The 18488-nt window shown below is 40.0% G+C and overlaps 1 protein-coding gene across 3 annotated transcripts in view; it reads right to left on the bottom strand.

The window, feature by feature from the left end:
• Positions 1–18488, bottom strand: part of SPESP1-NOX5 (SPESP1-NOX5 readthrough) — a 132238-nt gene that overhangs the window by 96997 nt on the left and 16753 nt on the right. The gene's annotated exons all lie outside the window — the stretch shown is intronic.

The raw sequence follows: 18488 nt of genomic DNA, 5'->3' as shown, positions 1-18488 counted from the left end.
TATGAACATCTTTATGCACACAAACTAGAAAACCTAGAGGACATGGATAAATTCCTGGAAACATACAGCCCCCAAGATTGATCCAGAAGTTGAAATCCTGAACAGACCAGTAACAAGTTATGAAATTGAATCAGTAATAAAAAAATCTACCAACTAGCTGTCCCTGTCCCTGTCCCTGTCCCTCTGCCTCTCCCTCTCCCCATGGTCTCCCTCTCCCTCTCCCTCTCCCTCTCCCCACGGTCTCCCTCTCCCTCTCTTTCCACGGTCTCCCTCTGATGCCGAGCCGAAGCTGGACTGTACTGCTGCCATCTCGGCTCACTACAACCTCCCTGCCTGATTCTCCTGCCTCAGCCTGCCGAGTGCCTGCCATTGCAGGCGCGCGCCACCACGCCTGACTGGTTTTCATATTTTTTTTTGGTGGAGACGGGGTTTCACTGTGTTGGCCGGGCTGGTCTCCAGCTCCTAACCGCGAGTGATCCGCCAGCCTCGGCCTCCCGAGGTGCCGGGATTGCAGACGGAGTCTCATTCACTCAGTGCTCAATGGTGCCCAGGCTGGAGTGCAGTGGCATGATCTCGGCTCGCTACAACCTCCACCTCCCAGCCGCCTGCCTTGGCCTCCCAAAGTGCCAAGATTGCAGCCTCTGCCCAGCCGCCACCCCGTCTGGGAAGTGAGGAGCGTCTCTGCCTGGCCACCCATCGTCTGGGATGTGAGGAGCCCCTCTGCCTGGCGCCCAGTCTGGAAAGTGAGGAGCGTCTCTGCCCGGCCGCCATCCCATCTAGGAAGTGAGGAGCGCCTCTGCCCGGCCGCCATCCCATCTAGGAAGTGAGGAGCGTCTCTGCCCGGCCGCCCATCGTCTGAGATGTGGGGAGCACCTCTGCCCCGCTGCCCCGTCTGGGATGTGAGGAGCGCCTCTGCCCGGCCGTGACCCCGTCTGGGAGGTGAGGAGCGTCTCTGCCCGGCCGCCCCATCTGAGAAGTGAGGAGACCCTCTGCCTGGCAACCACCCCGTCTGAGAAGTGAGGAGCCCCTCCGCCCGGCAGCCACCCCGTCTGGGAAGTGAAGAGCGTCTCCGCCCGGCAGCCACCCCGTCCGGGAGGGAGGTGGGGGTCAGCCCCCGCCAGGCCAGCCGCCCCGTCCGGGAGGGAGGTGGGGGGTCAGCCCCCTGCCCGGCCAGCCGCCCTGTCCGGGAGGTGAGGGGCGCCTCTGCCCGGCCGCCCCTACTGGGAAGTGAGGAGCCCCTCTGCCCGGCCAGCCGCCCCGTCCGGGAGGGAGGGGGGGGGGTCAGCCCCCCGCCCGGCCAGCCACCCCGTCCGGGAGGTGAGGGGCGCCTCTGCCCGGCCGCCCCTACTGGGAAGTGAGGAGTCCCTCTGCCCGGCCAGCCGCCCCGTCCAGGAGGGAGGTGGGGGGGTCAGCCCCCCGCCTGGCCAGCCACCCCGTCCGGGAGGGAGGTGGGGGGGTCAGCCCCCCGCCCGGCCAGCCGCCCCGTCCGGGAGGTGAGGGGCACCTCTGCCTGGCCGCCCCTACTGGGAAGTGAGGAGCCCCTCTGCCCGGCCACCACCCCGTCTGGGAGGTGTGCCCAACAGCTCATTGAGAACGGGCCATGATGACAATGGCGGTTTTGTGGAATAGAAAGGGGGGAAAGGTGGGGAAAAGATTGAGAAATCGGATGGTTGCCGTGTCTGTGTAGAAAGAGGTAGACATGGGAGACTCTTCATTTTGTTCTGTACTAGGAAAAACTCTTCTGCCTTGGGATCCTGTTGATCTGGGACCTTACCCCCAACCCTGTGCTCTCTGAAACATGTGCTGTGTCCACTCAGGGTTAAATGGATTAAGGGCGGTGAAAGATGTGCTTTGTTAAACAGATGCTTGAAGGCAGCATGCTCGTTAAGAGTCATCACCACTCCCTAATCTCAAGTACCCAGGGACACAAACACTGCGGAAGGCCGCAGGGTCCTCTGCGTAGGAAAACCAGAGACCTTTGTTCACTTGTTTATCTGCTGACCTTCCCTCCACTATTGTCCTATGACCCTGCCAAATACCCCTCTGCGAGAAACACCCAAGAATGATCAATAAAAAAAAAAAACAAAAAATCTACCAACTAAAAAAAGCTCAGGACCGGATGGAGTCACAGCCAAATTCTACTAGACATATAAAGAAGAGCTGGTACCAATCTTACTGAAACAATTCACAAAATCAGAGAGGAGGGATTCCCCTAACTCACTTTATAAAACCAGTATCATTCTGATACCAAAATCTGGCAAGGACACAACAAAAAAAGAAAACTGCGGACCAGTATCTGTAATAAACATAGATGCAAAATCCTCAACAAAAGACTAGCAAAGCAAATCTAGAAGCACACAAAAAGATCATTCATCATAGCCAGACATGGTGGCTTATGCCTGTAATCCCAGCACTTTGGGAGTCAAAGGCAGAAGGATTGCTTGAGCTCAGGAGTTCAAGACCAGCCTGGACAACATAGTGAGACCTCATCTCTACTAAAATTCAAAAAAATTAGCTGGATGTGGTGGCACATGCCTGTAGTCCCAGTTAGTTGGGGGGCTAAAGCAAGAGAAGCACTCAAGCCCACAAAGTCAAGGCTGCTGTGAGCCCTGATTGGGCCACTGCACTCCAACCCAGGATAGGGAGAGACCCTGTCTCAAAAAATAAAGGAATAAAATAAAATGAAAAAATTATTCATCACGATAATTATTCCAGGGATCGCAAGGATGATTTAACATATGCAAGTCAATAAATGATTCACCACATAAACAGAATTAAAAACAAAAACCATATGATCATCTCAATAAATGCAGAAAAAGCATTTGATAAAATCCAATATCCCTTCATAAGAAAAACTCTCAACACACTGGGCATTGAAGGAACAAACTTTAAAATAGTAAGAGCCATCTATGACAAACCCACAACCAACATCATACTGAACAGGGAAAAGTTGAAAGGATTCCTCCTAAGAGTTGGAACAAGGCAAGGATATCCATTCTCACCACTCCTATTCAATATAGTACTGGAAGTCCTAGCCAGGGCAATCAGGCAAGACAAAGAAATAAAAGGAGGTACCCAAATAGAAAAAGAGGAAGTCAATTTATCATTGTTTGCCGAATGACATAAACTTATACCAAACTAGGAAACCAAAGATTCCTCCAAAAGACTTCTAGACCTGATAAACAACTTCAGTAAAGTTTCAGGTTCCAAATTAATGCACAAAAACCAATTGTATTGCTATACACCAACAATGCTCAAGCTAAGAACCAAATCAAGAACTCAATCCCCTTTACAATGGCCACAAAAAAATACAATATCTAGAAATACATTTAACCAAGGAGGTGAAAGACATCTACAAGGAGAACCTCAAAATATAGACAAAAGTAATTGTAAATGACACAAACAAATGGAGAAACATCCCATGCTCATGGGTAGAAAGAATCAATATTGATAAAGTGACTATACCGCCCAAAGCAATCTACAGATTTAATGAAATTCTATCAAACCACCAACATCATTTTCCACAGAATTAGAAAAAACAATTCTAAAATTCATATGGAACCAAAAAAGAGTCCAAATAGCCAAAGCAGTACTAAGCAAAAATAACAGAATAGAGAACCCTGAAATAACGCCACACCCCTACAACCAACTTCAACAAATGGAGGAAGGGACACCCTATTCAATAAATGGTACTGGAAAAAATGGCTAGTCATATGCAGAAGAATGAAACTGGATCTTTATCTCTTACCATATACAAAAAATTAACTCAGGATGGATTAAAGACTTAACCGTAAGATTTGAAGCTATAAAAATCTTGACAGACATAGAGTAAGCCAAGAGATTGAATCAGCAACCAAAAACCTCTCAAGAAAGAAAGGTTCAGGACCAGATGGCTTCACTGGTGAATTCTACCCAAACATTAAGCATGAATTAACACTAATCCTTCACAAATTCAAAAAACAGAAGAGGAAGGGACTGGGGCAAGGCTGAACCTGCAGGAAAGCATCAAAGGAGATTTAAACAATAATGTGTTACATTCTTGAAAATTGCTAAGAGAGTAGATTTTAAGTGTTCTCATCTCAAAAAAATAAGTGTGTGAGGTAATGCATATCTTAATTACCTCAATTTAATTCTCTTCCATGTTTATATATTTCAAAACATGTTATACATGATAATTATATACAATTTTTGTCAGTTTAAAAAACCCTTTTTAAGGGTTTTATTTAACTAGGAACTAAACAAGAAGTTGGCTACATTTTAAAACACTGCATTAAAGAAAAAAAAAAGAATCCCATCTAAAAGTGGTCAAAGGACATGAATAGACATTTCTCAAAGGAAGATATACAAACAGCCAACAAATGTATGGAAAAATGCTCAGCATCACTAATCATCAGGGAAACGCAAATTAAAACCACAGTGAGATACCACCTTACTCCAGAAAGAATGGCCAAAATTATTTTTTTTTGTTTTTAAAATGGCCGTAATTAAAAAGTCAAAAAACAATATATTGGTGTGAATGTGGTGAAAAGGGAACACTTCTACACTACTGTTGGGAATGTAATTTAGTACAACCACTATGGAAAACAGTATGGTGATTCCTTAAAGAACTAAAAGTAGATCTAGCATTTGATCCAGCAATCCCACTACTGGGTATCTACCTAATGGAAAAAAAGTCATTACATGAAAAAGACACACACACATGCATGGATACCTCAGCAAGATGTGCAATTGCAAAGATGTAAAACCAACCTAAGTGCCAAGTGAATAAAGAGAATGTGGCATATATACATCGTGGAATACTACTCAGCCATAAAAAAGAACAAAATAATGTCTTTTGCAGCAACCTGAATGGAGCTGGAGGTCATTATTCTAAATGAAGTAACTCAGGAATGGGAAAACCAAATGCCCTATGTTCTCACTTATAAGTGGGAGCTAAGCTGTGAGGACATGAAGACATACGGAATAATGTAATGCACTTTGGGGACGCCAAGGGGAGCAGGACATGGAGGGGAGTTAGGGATAAAAGATTACATATTGGGTACAGTGTACACTGCTTGGGTGACGAGTGCACTAAGATCTCAGAATTCACCACTATAGGACTTAACCACATTACCAAAAACCACCTGTACTCCAAAAACTATTGAAATAATAAAATAAAGTAATGCATCTCACCAAAATATGAACAAATAAAACAGATAAAGCAGTATTTTACAATGCTTTAGTCCAATGTAACCACTTTCTCAAAGTTGAGTTTCAAGCACTTTGGCAGACCTACAAAGAAAATATTTTAAATGTTCTCAAATCACATTATACTGTACTAATGCTATAATCATACAAAACCTTTCTAAAACTGCAAGTAACACAAAGCTACTATTTATTAAGCACCTACTACATGCTAGGCCCTTCATATATGCTGTCTTTTTTTAAACCTTATAACTTAATCTGAACAGATATCAATTTCTACACCGTTAAAAAAATGTTTAGAAGCTACAATCTGGAATTCCTTCAATTTTTGCTACCAAACCTTCAGACTTACCTTTATCTGTATTCATTTCTTCTCCTTCCCTCCTATTACTCTCTGCACCCCATCTTCAACCTCTCCTTTTCTACTGGCTCTTTCTCATCAGCTGCTAAACATGGTCTAGTCTCGTGTCCAGAGTTGGTTCCTTCGGGTGGGGTCATGATGTCTCTGACTTAAAGAATGAAGCCACGGACCTTTGCGGTGTTAGGGCTCCAGATGGTGTGGACCTAAAGAGTGAGCAGCAGCAAGATTTACTGTGGAGAGCAAAAGACCAAACCTTCCTCAGCATGGAAGGGGACCTGAGCCGGTTGCTGCTGCTGGCTGGGGTGGCTAGCTTTTATTCTCTTGTCTCCGTCCATGTCCTGCTGATTGGTCCATTTTATAGAGTGCTGATTGGTCCATTTTACAGAGCACTGATTGTTCCATTTTACAGTGTGCTGATTGGTCTATTTTATAAACCTCTAGCTAGCCACAAAGAGCTGATTGGTATGTTTTACAATGTATTGGTGGTACATTTTATAAACTTCTAGCTAGCCACAGAGCACTGATTGGTGCGTTTTACAATTCTAGCTTCAGAGTGCTGATTGGTGCATTTTACAATCCTCTTGTAAGACAGAAAAGTTCTCCAAGTCCCCACCTGACCTAGAAGTCCAGCTGGCTTCACCTCTCAGTCTCACCTATCTGAAAATAACAAACTAATATTCTCCCTGGGCTTTACATTCCCCCCACCCCCATCACCTTTTTCTCTCATTCTAGTCACTTAAATATTTCAAGAATTGTCTCTACTTTTTGTCTCCATTTTCTTTTCTTTTTTTTTTTTGAGACGGAGTCTCTCTCTGTCACCCAGGCTGGAGTGCAGTGGCGCAATCTCGGCTCACTGCAAGCTCTGCCTCCCAGGTTCAGGCCATTCTCCTGCCTCAGCCTCCTGAGTAGCTGGGACTACAGGCGCCCGCCACCACGCCTGGCTAATTTTTTGTATTTTAGTAGAGATGGGGTTTCACTGTGTTTGCCAGGATGGTTTCGATCTCCTGACCTCGTGATCCGCCTGCCTCGGCCTCCCAAAGTGGTGGGATTGCAGGTGTGAGCCACTGCGCCCGGCCTCCATTTTCTTACCTTAACTCATTCTTCCAGTATGGCTTATCTCCAAACCTATCAAAACCGTTTTTGCACTAATCCAGTGGATGATTTTTAGTCTTTATCTCGTTTGATTTTTGAGTTACAACAGTGTCAAATCCTCCCTCTTTTTTAAACACTCTTTCTTCCTTTGACATCTATTTAACCACACTTTTCCTGGTGTGGTTAAATACAGGAGAAATATTTCAAATGTTTTAATATTTTTAAGCACTTTTCTAACTATTCTTACTTGGTCACTTTGGTAGGTGCTTTTCTTCATTTTTCCCTCTAAATTAGAGATATTTAAAGCTTAGTTCTAGGTCTTCTCCTCTTCTCTGTACACTCTATAAAGAATGTCTCCACTGCAATAGCTTAAATTTCCATTTAGCTTCCAGATAGCTCCATTTAGCTTCCAGGTAGCTCCAAAATCGTTATTTGTAGATCTCTTAAGCTCCAGACTAATATATCTAACTGGATATGTCTCATAGGCAACTTAAATTTAATATATTCAAAAATGAGATTTCTAAAATCATCTTCTCCATAAGCATGCTTCCCCTTTTAAATATATCATAATGCATTAATATTTATTGAGCATATAATTACAGGCCAGACATTGTGCTAGCTGCTGAGAGTACAGCAGTGAACAAAATTCTTATTACTCCTTCTCTTATAGACTTACAATCTGGTAAAGAGAGACAAACATTAAACAAATAATCATATAAATAACTATAAAATTATAATACAATGTTGATACATGCTATAAAAAAGACAAGGTACACTACCACCCACAAAGTAGCTCAAGTCGGAAACAGAAGTTATTCCTTACCGCTTTCTTTATCTTGCACATCAAATTGTTAGCAGCAGTGAATCGTATGGGTCTGCAGCAACCTCAATTCTTGCCTCCTCAGAAGAAATAATTCGACCAGCGGACAGAAGGCAGAAGGAGAGACTGAGGCAAGTTTTAGAGCATGCGTGAACGTTTATGAAAAACTTTTAGAGCAGGAATAAAAGGAAGTAAACTTGTAAGAGGGCCAAGGAGAAAACTTGAGAGATCCAAGTGACTTCATCAGCCCTTGACTTGGGGTTTTATACACTGGCATGGCTCTGGGGTCTTCTTTCCTCCTTCCTTGATTCTTCTCTGGGGGTGGGTCATGCACATGTGCAGTGGCCTGCCAGCACTTGAGAGGGGCCACATACTAAGTGTGATTACTGAAGTTGTACACATACTCAGTCGAGGTGTTTTTCCCTTACCTGTCGAGTGTTTAAACTCCATCATGTTACCTCTTAGTGCACATACTTGAGCCCACTTCCCCAGCTCTTGAGATTTTGCTGGGAAGTTGCTGATCACCAGTGTCAGGTTTTTTCTATCTACTGGGAGAATGCCTTTTCCCGGCACTGGTTGCAACCAAGTATTATTTTAGAGAGACAGTTTAACAACCACCTGACCATCATCTAATGGTCGCCTGACATTCCTGGTGGGGTCGGGAGAGGGCTTTCCTACCCTGTTCATGTCTAACTACCTACAGTAACAAAATAATCACCAAATTCTTGGTTCTTAATTCCTAAATATCTCTCAAATTTACTACTTATTTCCATCTCCTCTGTTACCATCCAAGTCCAGGAGATCATCATCTTTCACCAGATTTTTATGACAGTCTCCTAACTGGCCTCTACTCTCAGTCTTGCTCCTTCCTTTCCTTTATCTACACTGAAGCCATTTAAAGTGACTTGCAAAAAATGCTTAAAATCTTTCAAAATATGTTCATTGTCTTAAGAATAAAGTACAATCTCCAACATACAAATAAAGGTCCTGCATATTATATATAAAACAAATATAAGATAACTGTAAAAGGTGAAGAAAAAAAGCCAAACTGGCTAAAGACTTCTGAACCCAAGGAATGACACGGTGGTGCATTCTCTGAATTTTCTTTTAGCCTCATATATCCCAAACTTGGAGCTAGAGAAGCTGACAACCCAGAAACATGAACAGGCACAGACATAAAATCCCCAACAAAAGCCTCTTCCCTCTAGCCAAAGGATTGAGAGAGGGATCGGGGACAACACAGAAAACTTTTAGACAGTAACCATTCTATTCCAGCCAAACACTACAGAAAAACTGTGACCCCCATCCAATCTCCATCCGCACTAGCAAAAGCCAAGTTGGGAACCTAGATTTCCATACTCACCAAGCTGTAAGGGCGTGTTGGAGAAGGCTGAGTAGGGATACAGGACTTTCATCTCTGTTGGATGTATGAATTCTCCACTTTATATTAGTGAAGACCAGGTGAAAAGCCTAGACTTTCACCCCCACCCAGCCTTAATGAGTCATTCCTCCCCCTCACCACTACAGTAGTATCAGAGGAGCCCTAATGGTGAGCCAGGATTTTTACCACTACTCAATGGAGAAAATAATCAATAGATGTCAACACCAAGATGACAGAGATGTTGAATTATATGACAAAGATTTTAAATCAGCCATCATAAAAATGCTTCAGTGAACAATTATAAACATGCTTGAAATCCATTAAAAAGTATAAAAACTTCCCCTCCCCCAAAAAAATAGAGTCTTAGCAAAGAATTAGGAAATATAAAGAAGTACCAGGCCGAGCGCAGTGGCTCACACCTGTAATCCCAGCACTTTGGGAGGCCGAGGCGGGTGGGTCACAAGGTCAGGAGTTCAAGACCAGCCTGGCCAATGTGTTGAAACCCCATCTCTACTAAAAATACAAAAATTAGCTGGGTGTGGTGGCATGTGCCTGTAGTCCCAGCTACTCGGGAGGCTGAAGCAGGAGAATCACTTGAACTCGGGAGGTGGAGGTTGCAGTGAGCCAAGATTGTGCCACTGCCCTCCAGCCTGGGTGACAGAGCGAGACTCCATCTCAAAAAAAAAAAAAAAAAAAAGAAGTACCAAATGGAAATTTTAGAACTGAAAAATACAATAATTGAAATACAAAGCTCAGTGGATGTGCTCAACAGAAGGATGGGGAGAACAGATGAAATAATAAGTATCCTTGAAGATAGAACAATAGAAATTACCCAATCTGATCAATAAAGAGAAAATAGACTGGGAAAAGTTTGGGAGCAAAAATGAATGGAATGAGCCTCAGGGACCCAAGGGGCTATAATGAAAGATCTACCATTCATGTCACTGGAGTTTCATAAAAAGAGGAGAAAAGGAAAGAGTTGAAAACATCCTCAAAAGAATGGATACAGTGTCTAAATTTGGCAAAAGGCATAAACCTACAGATTCCAGAAGCTGAGCAAATCTCAAGCAGGATAAATACAAAGAAATCCATACCAAGGCACATTATATCCAAACTTCTGAAAATTAAAGTCAGAGAAAAAAAAAACCCTTGAAAGCAGTGAGAGAGAGATTACATTTTACCAATAAGAAAAAGCAATAGAAATGACAGTGGATCTCTCATCAAAAACCATGAAGGCAGGGAAAAAAGTAGCACAACATTTTTCAATTGATGAAAGGAAAGATCAACCTGGAACCCTATATCATGTAAAAACATCCTTCAGGAATAAAGAATAAATTAAGATATTTTCAGACAAAGGAAAACTAAGGGAATTTGTCACTGGAAGATCTACACTAAAAGAATGGATAAGGAAGTTTTCTATATGAGAAAGAAATCATAAAGCAAGGAGTCGTGGAACATAAAGAAGAAAATAATGGCTAGAGCAAAAATGTGAGTAGATACAATAGATTTTTCTTTACTTTTGTGTTTTCTAAATTATGTTTGATGTTAAATCAAAATTTATAATCCTGTCTGATGTGGTTCTAAATGTATGTAGAGGAAATAGTTAAGACAATTCTAAGTTGGAGAGGATAAAGGGATCTAAAGAGAGGTAAGGTTTCTACTCTTCACTCAAACTGTTAAATGATGACACCAGTACACTGTCTTAAGTTATGTATATGTAATATGCTACCTAGAGTAACTGCTACAAATCTATTCAAATAAAACATAAATAAATCAAAATAAAATTCCAAAAAATGTTCAAGTAATCCACTGGAGGGCAGGAAAGAGAAAACAGAGAAACAAAAATCAGAGAGAACAAACATGAAACAAAAATAAAATAAACTAAAATAGCAAAATGAGCCCTAATATGCCAGTAATTATACTAAATTTAAATGGCCCAATTAAAAGGCAGAGATTGCAGAATGAATTATAAAACATGACCCAGGTTACACTTTCTACAAGAGACTCACTTCAAACATAATGATATAGGCAGGTTGAAAGTAAAAGGATAAAAAACAATATATCAAGTAAACATTAATCAAAGGAAAGCAAGAATGGCTATATTAATATCAAATAAGGTAGAATTCATAACAAAGAAAATTACCAGAGGCATAAATGGACATTATACAAGGATTAAATGTTCAGTCCATCAAAAAGACATAACAATCCTAAATGTACATGCAATAAACAACGGACCTGCAAAGTATGTGAAGCAAAAACTGATAGAACTGAAAGGAAAAATTCACAAATCCACAATTACAGTTGGAGACCTCAGCACTCCTCTTTCAACAATTGATAGAAAATCAGAAAGATTACAGAATAAATCAACAACAGACAATAGGATCTAATTAACATTTATAAAATCCTCCAACCAACAGAATATACATTATTTTCTATACGTATATACCATATCCTGGATCATAAATGAACCTTAACAATTTTAAAAGAATTAAATCATATATAGTTTTTTCTCTGACTGCAATAGAATCAAACTAGAAATCAGTGATGGAAGGATTACAGTAAACTCCCCCAACACTTAGAAACTATATGACATACTTTAAAATAATCCGTGGGCCAAAGAGGAAGTCTCAAAGAGGAAAATGTACACATGGCCAATAGGCAAACAAAAAGTTCAACGTCATTAAATAAAATGAAAAATACATTAAATTGAAGGAAAAGAAAATACAGCATATCAAAAGTTATAAGACATGGAAAAAACAATGCTTATAAGAAAATGTATAGTGTTAAATTCATACATTAGAAAAGAGAAAAAGTCTAACACCAAGAACCTAGAAAAATAAGAGCAAAATCCCCAAAGCAAGCAGAAGGAATGAAATGATAAAGAGCAGAAATCAATAAAATTTAACACAGAAAACAATAAAGAAAAATTAATGAAACAAATTTTTATTGGTTTGCTCTTTGAAAAGATAAAATCCACAAGCCTCTAGCAAGACTGAAAAAGGTAAAAAGAAGAAAGACACAAATTATTACCAGGAATGAAACAAGTTATTTCACTAAAGACTGTAAACATCAAAAAGATAAAAAGGAATATTACGAACAACTTTAAAAACATAAATTTGAGAAGTTGGATGTAATAGACCAATTCCTCAAAAAACATGAACAGTTACATCTCACCTAACATAAAATAATTTCAATAACCCTAAAACTATTAAGGAAATTGAATTTATAGAGGTAAAACTCTCAAAACAGAAACCTCCAGGCCCAGATGGTTCACTGGCGATGATTCTACCAAATGTTGAAAGAAGAATTAACACCAATTTACAAAATCTTTTCCATAAAATAGAAGAGAGAGGAATACTCCTCAATTCATTTGATAAAGATAATATCCTGATACCAAAACCAGAGAAGGACAGTACAAAAACAAAAAGAAAACTATAGGCCAATATCCCTCATTAATACATGCAAGAATCCATAATAAATTTCAGCACACAGAATTAAGCACACAGAAACTCATACACTGCTGGTGGTTATGTTAAATGGTACAGCCACTCTGGAAAAGAGTTGGGCAGTTTCTTATAAGACTGAATATGCAACTGCCACACTGCACAACAATGGCACTCCTGGGCATTTATCCCAGAGAAATGAAAACTTATGTTCACACAAACACCTGTATATGAATGTCAGATTATATATAATCTGTATCAGATATATAATTTGCAAATATTTTCTCCCATTCTGTCAGCAGCTTTTCTTTTCTAATAGCCAAGACATGGAAACAATCCAGAAATTCTGAAACAAGTAAATGGTTAAACTGTGGAGTACCACTCAGCAATAAAAAGGAATGAGTTGATACATGCAAAAATCTTGATAAATCTCTAGAGAGTTAAGCTAATGAAAAAAAATTAGTCCCAAAAAGATTATGTACTGTATGATGCCATTCATACAACATTCTTGAAATGACAAAATTATGGAAATGGAGAACAGAATAGTGATTACCGGTGGTTAGACAGGGAGGGGGGAAGTGGTGTGGCTATAAAACAGCAACATGAGAGATTTTTATGATGATGGAAATGTTCTGTATCTTGTACCAATATCTATATGTTGGCTGTTATATTGTACTCTAATTTAACTACATTTGGGTGAAATAGGGAAAGGGTACATTTAACTAGATCTCTCTGCATTATTTTTTACAACTATAAGACATGTGAATCTATATCACAAAATAAGGTTAAAAAGCAATAGATCATAACAATAAGATATCACTACACACCTACTAGAATGGCCAAAATGCAGAATACTAACAACACTAAATGCTGGCGGGTATGTGAAGTAACAGAAACTCTCATTCGTTTGGTGGGAATGCAAACATGGTACAGCCGCTTTGGAAGACAGTTTGGCAATTTCTTGCACAGCTAAACATACTCTTACCACGTTGTATTAGTCCATTCTTGCATTGCTATAAAGAAGTACCTGAGGCTGGGTAATTTATAAGAAAAAAGGTTTAATTGGCCCCCGGTTCCACAGGCTGTACAGGAAGTGTAGTGCAAGCATCTACTTCTGGTGAGGGCCTGAGGGAGCTTACAATCGTGGCACAAAGTGACAGAGAGCTAGCATATCACATGGCGAGAGTGGGAGCAAGACAGCAAGGAGGGGAGGTCCCAGACTTTTAAACAGCCAGATCTCACATGAACTAACTGAGCAAGAGTTCACTTATCACCAAAGGGATCATGCTAAATCATTCATAAGGGATCTGCCCCTGTGATCCAGTCATCTCCCACCAAGCCCCATCTACAACATTGGGAATCACATTTCAACATGAGATTTAGAGGGGACACACATTCAAACCGTATCACGTATGATTCAGCAATCATGCTCCTTGGTGTTTACCCAAAGGAGTTGAAAACTTCTGTCCACACAAAAACCTGCACATAAACGTTTACGTCAGCTTTATTCATAATTGTCAAAACTTAGAAGCAACCAAGATGTCCTTCAGTAGGTGAATGAATAAATAAATTGTGGTACATCTAGACAATAGAATATTATTCAACACCAAAAAGAAATAAACTATCAAGTCATTAAAAGACACAGAGGAAACTTACATGTGTATTACTAAATGAAAGAAACCAGTCTGAAAAGGCTACAGACTGCATTGATTCCAACTACAGACTGAGCATCCGTAATCTGAAAATCCAAAATCCAAAATGGGCTGGGCGCTGTGGCTCAGGCCCGTAATCCCAGCACTTTGGGACGCCGAGGCCAGCGGATCACTTGAGATCAGGAGTTTGATACCAGCCTGGCCAACATAGTAAAACCCTGACTCTACTAAAAAAAATACACACAAAAAAAATTTGGCCAGGTATAGGGGCACGTGCCTGTAGTCCCAGCTACTCAGGAAGCTGAGGCAGGAGAATTGCTTGAACCCAAGAGGCGGAGGTTGCAGTGAGCAAGATCGCACCATTGCACTCCAGCCTGGGAAACAGAGTGAGACTCTGTCTCAAAACAAAAAGCAAAAAAACAAAACAAAACAAAAATCCAAAATGTTCCAAAATCTGAAAGCTTTTGAATGCTGACAGGACATCTCAAGTGAAAAATTCCACAACTGACACATTATTTTTTCACTGTATTAATAGTATGTCATGTTTTTACTGTCAAGTACTTATGTGTGCATAAGTGTAAGAAAATAATCGCTTATCAGTAGCAAATAAATTCAGAGTCAGAAATGATAGTGATGCTAAGTAACCACAGACTGTCCACATGGGTGGCTGAGATATTGACACCTTTGCTTTCTGATGGGTCATGTACACAAACCTTATTTCATGTTCAAAATTATTAAAAGTACTATAGAAAATTACCTTCAAGCTCTGTGCATAAACTATATATGAAACATAAATGAATTTCATGTTTAGACTTGGATCCTATCCCCAAGATATCTCATTATGTATATGCAAATACCAAAATCTGAAAAAAAAACAAAATTCAAAACACTTCTGGTCCTACACATTTCAAATAAGTTACTCAACTATATATACATTCTGGAAAAGGCAAAATTATGGAAAAAAAAAAAAAAAAGCAGTGGTTGCCAGCCAGAAGTTAGGGGAGAGAGAGGCATGAATAGATGAAACACAGAGGGTTTTAGGGCAGTGAAACTACTCTGTGTGATACTATAACGGTGGACACATGTACAATTGTCCAAATGCATAAAATGTAAAACACCAAGAGCGAATCTTAGTATAAACTATGGAGTTTAGGTGATGATGATGTGTCAATGTAGGTTCATTAATTATAACAAATGTACCACACCAATACAAGATGTGTCAGGGAGGAGAGAGACGGATGTGAGAACTCTGTACTTTCTGATCAATTTCTCTGTAAAACTAAAATTGTTTGAAAAAAATAAAGGCTACTAATAAAATAGAGTATCATTGGAGATTCTATGAACTAATTATTCTGGAAATTATTAAGCAAAGGGATTCAAGCATTTGATGTCTTTCCAATACACACTAGACCACTGGGGAATCAAATAATAGATGAAAGTTTCTCTTTATAGACACATTCCAGATAATAATGGAAGGAATGATGTCTCTACTTTGTATCACCTGATCAATTAATCTATCTAGGCAATGACCATAAAAGTCTGCTAAAAATACAAAAAGAGACCCAACCATATGGAAGAATAAAACAGCATCTTGCCAAAAAAAAAAAAAAAAAAAAAAAAGAAGAAAGAGAAAGAAAAAAAAAAACCTCAGTTTGATGAAGCCTCTCTAGATCCAACTACCAATTTATAGAAAAGATAGAGGATAGGAGAACATGCTAAATGGCACTATGGGGATGCAATTAGCAAAATCCATATTGTGGGAAACTATAGGACAAATGACCAATTTCTTCAGTAAATAAACCTAAAGGGGAAAAAAAAGAGGTATAAAGGAATACTTTAGATTAAAAGAGACTTATTAGTCAAATCAACCAATTTTAATGTGTGAACTTTATTTAATCTCGATTCATATAAACCCTAAATTTTAAAAATTATTTCACAATTGGGAATTTGAACATTGACTAGATATTTGATGATAGTAAAAATCATTAAACTTTTTTTTTTTTGAGATGGAGTCTCCCTCTGTTGCCCATGCTGGAGCACAGTTACATGATCTCAGCTCACTGCAACCTGTCTCCTGGGTCCAAGCTATTCTCCTGCCTCAGCCTCCTGAGTGGCTGGGATGACAGGCATGCACCACCACACCCAGCTATGTTTTATATTTTTAGTAGAGACAGGGTTTCACCATATTGGCCAGGCTGGTCTTGAACTCCTGACCACAAATGATCCTCCTGCCTTGGCCTCCCAAAGTGCTGGGATTACTGGCGTGAGCCACTGCACCCAGCCAGAAATCATTAAACCTTTATGTGTGATATTGTGGTTATGTTTTTTTTTTTTTAAAAAAAAAACTTACAGAGCTTCACATTGTTATATTTTTACTGATGAAATGATAAAGTATCCGTGATTTAATTCAACATAAAATAGGAAGAGGGGAAAGGGGTAGGGATATAGATGAAAGAAGATTAGTCTTTAGATGATTGTTGAGACTAGATGATGGGTATGTGGAAGTGAACAATAACAAAATGGAGTCACTTATGTCAAAGCCCTAATCAAAAATGGGAGCTGGGGAGGTCATAAAGAAAAAATCCTCCTGCTTACATTCTTGAAATACCTATACATCTTGGATGTATCCTGTAATCAGAGCTTATTCTCAGGCATTTCCTTGGCCTTCAGCATTTCTGATATGATCTGACCAGGACAGGCGCCTACCAAGGCCTATCTCCTGCAGTGAGCTTTGTTTCAAAGCAGTTTGTGTGGACTCCTGCTTTAAAAACTCCCTTTGTCCTGATTTTCCTGGTGTGTGTGCTTATGATTTTCATGGCTTGTGTACCCTAAATTGCAACGCTTTTTTATTCCCAATTAAAATCTTTTGTTTCAGAGAGCTTGTCTCTATGAGGTCTTTTTTTAAGGTTGACATGTACATGGATTCATTATATTATTCTTTACTTTTGCAAATTTTTGAAATTTTCCAAAGTAAAATTATTTTATAAATAACAGTAAAAGAGTATTTTTAGTAAACAAAGCCTATATATAATACTTTTTACAATACAACTAATTGTGGGAATTATTTTTGGTCCCTGCTATTAGCACAGTCCCCATATCCATTCAATCACCAAATCTTGTTGATTCTCCCTCTTCCCCCCCCCACCCAAAACAGTCTTGCTCTGTCACCCAGGCTGGAGTTCAGTGGCGCAATCTTGGCTCACTGCAACTCGGCTCACTGCAATCTCAGCTCACTGCAATCTCGGCTCACTGCAACCTCCACCTCCCACGTTCAAGCAATTCTCCTGCCTCAGCCTCCCAAGTAGCTGGGATTACAGGCTCCCACCATCACGCCCAGCTAATTTTTGTATTTTTAGTAGAGACGGGGTTTTACCATGTTGGCCAGGCTGGTCTTGAACTCCTGACCTCAGGTGATCCGCCCACCTTGGCCTCCCAAAGTGCTGGGATTACAGGCGTGAGCCACTGCGCCCGGCCTGATTCTCCCTCTTAATTGCCAATTCTTTCCACCTACTCCAAGCAACATTTGGCCTGTGCACAGTGCGCTTCTACTTTTGCCCACTTCCAAAACTGCAGCGAGTGGGTTTGGTTGTTGTTAACAGATATTTGAACATACTAGTCCTTTTTGCTTAAAATCCACTAATGGCTTCTCATTGATCACAGGGTAAAGGCTAAAACATTTAATAACGCACTGAAGGCGCCACAGGATATATTCTGACCTGGTGTATATGTCACCAGATCCATCTTGTGATGCTCTTTCTTGCCTTTCTATACTCCAGGTACTTCCTGAACTTCTCATCCTTATTTTTAACTCACAGTATTCATACCTGCTGTTCCCTCTCCCTGGAATGTTCACTTTCTCCTTACACACACCCTAATCTTTCAGACTATACCTTAATTGCCACTTTCTCAGGGTAGCTTTCCCATTATTCTTGGTCTAAGTGAGGTCAAACACCTCACACCTTCATAATAATTTGTCACAACTGAAATTTAAAAATTCTTGAAATTATTTGTTTAGTGTGTATCTTTCCCGCTATAATATAATGTCAAAGAGAAAAGAAAGTAGGTCTTATTTTTGTATCCCCAAAGCCTAGCATCTATTGTGTCCTGCACATAGTAAAAGGTCAATAAATCTTTATCAAACTATAAATGAATGTCTTGATGAACAAATAAATAAATGTATTTGAATATAATACTGGTCAAATCATAAACAGAATTACCTGAGCCATTATTATAATACTACACAGTTAACCTTAATGGTGTCAGTCATACTCTCTTGACAAAAGATTTGAAAATCTTCAATGTGTATGTACACAAAGAAAGGAAATGAGAATGACTTCATTACATATCCAGGTTACAGTCCCTCATTGATACTCCAAAAGTACTTAATGACAAAAGAATAGAGATGTATCTTAATATAGTATCTACATTTTAAAGGAGGCACACCTATATCCAAATAAAAGTGCAGATACAAGCTCCAAGTTATGCTATTAAGACAGAAAACTCGCTGGGCGCACTGGCTCACGCCTGTAATCCCAGTACTTTGGGAGCCCGAGGA

This window comes from Homo sapiens, chromosome 15 (genome assembly GCF_000001405.40).
Source record: "Homo sapiens chromosome 15, GRCh38.p14 Primary Assembly".
Lineage (NCBI taxonomy): Eukaryota > Metazoa > Chordata > Mammalia > Primates > Hominidae > Homo > Homo sapiens.
Note: the sequence above shows the minus strand (reverse complement) of the source record. Positions and strands in the feature narration are given on the sequence as shown.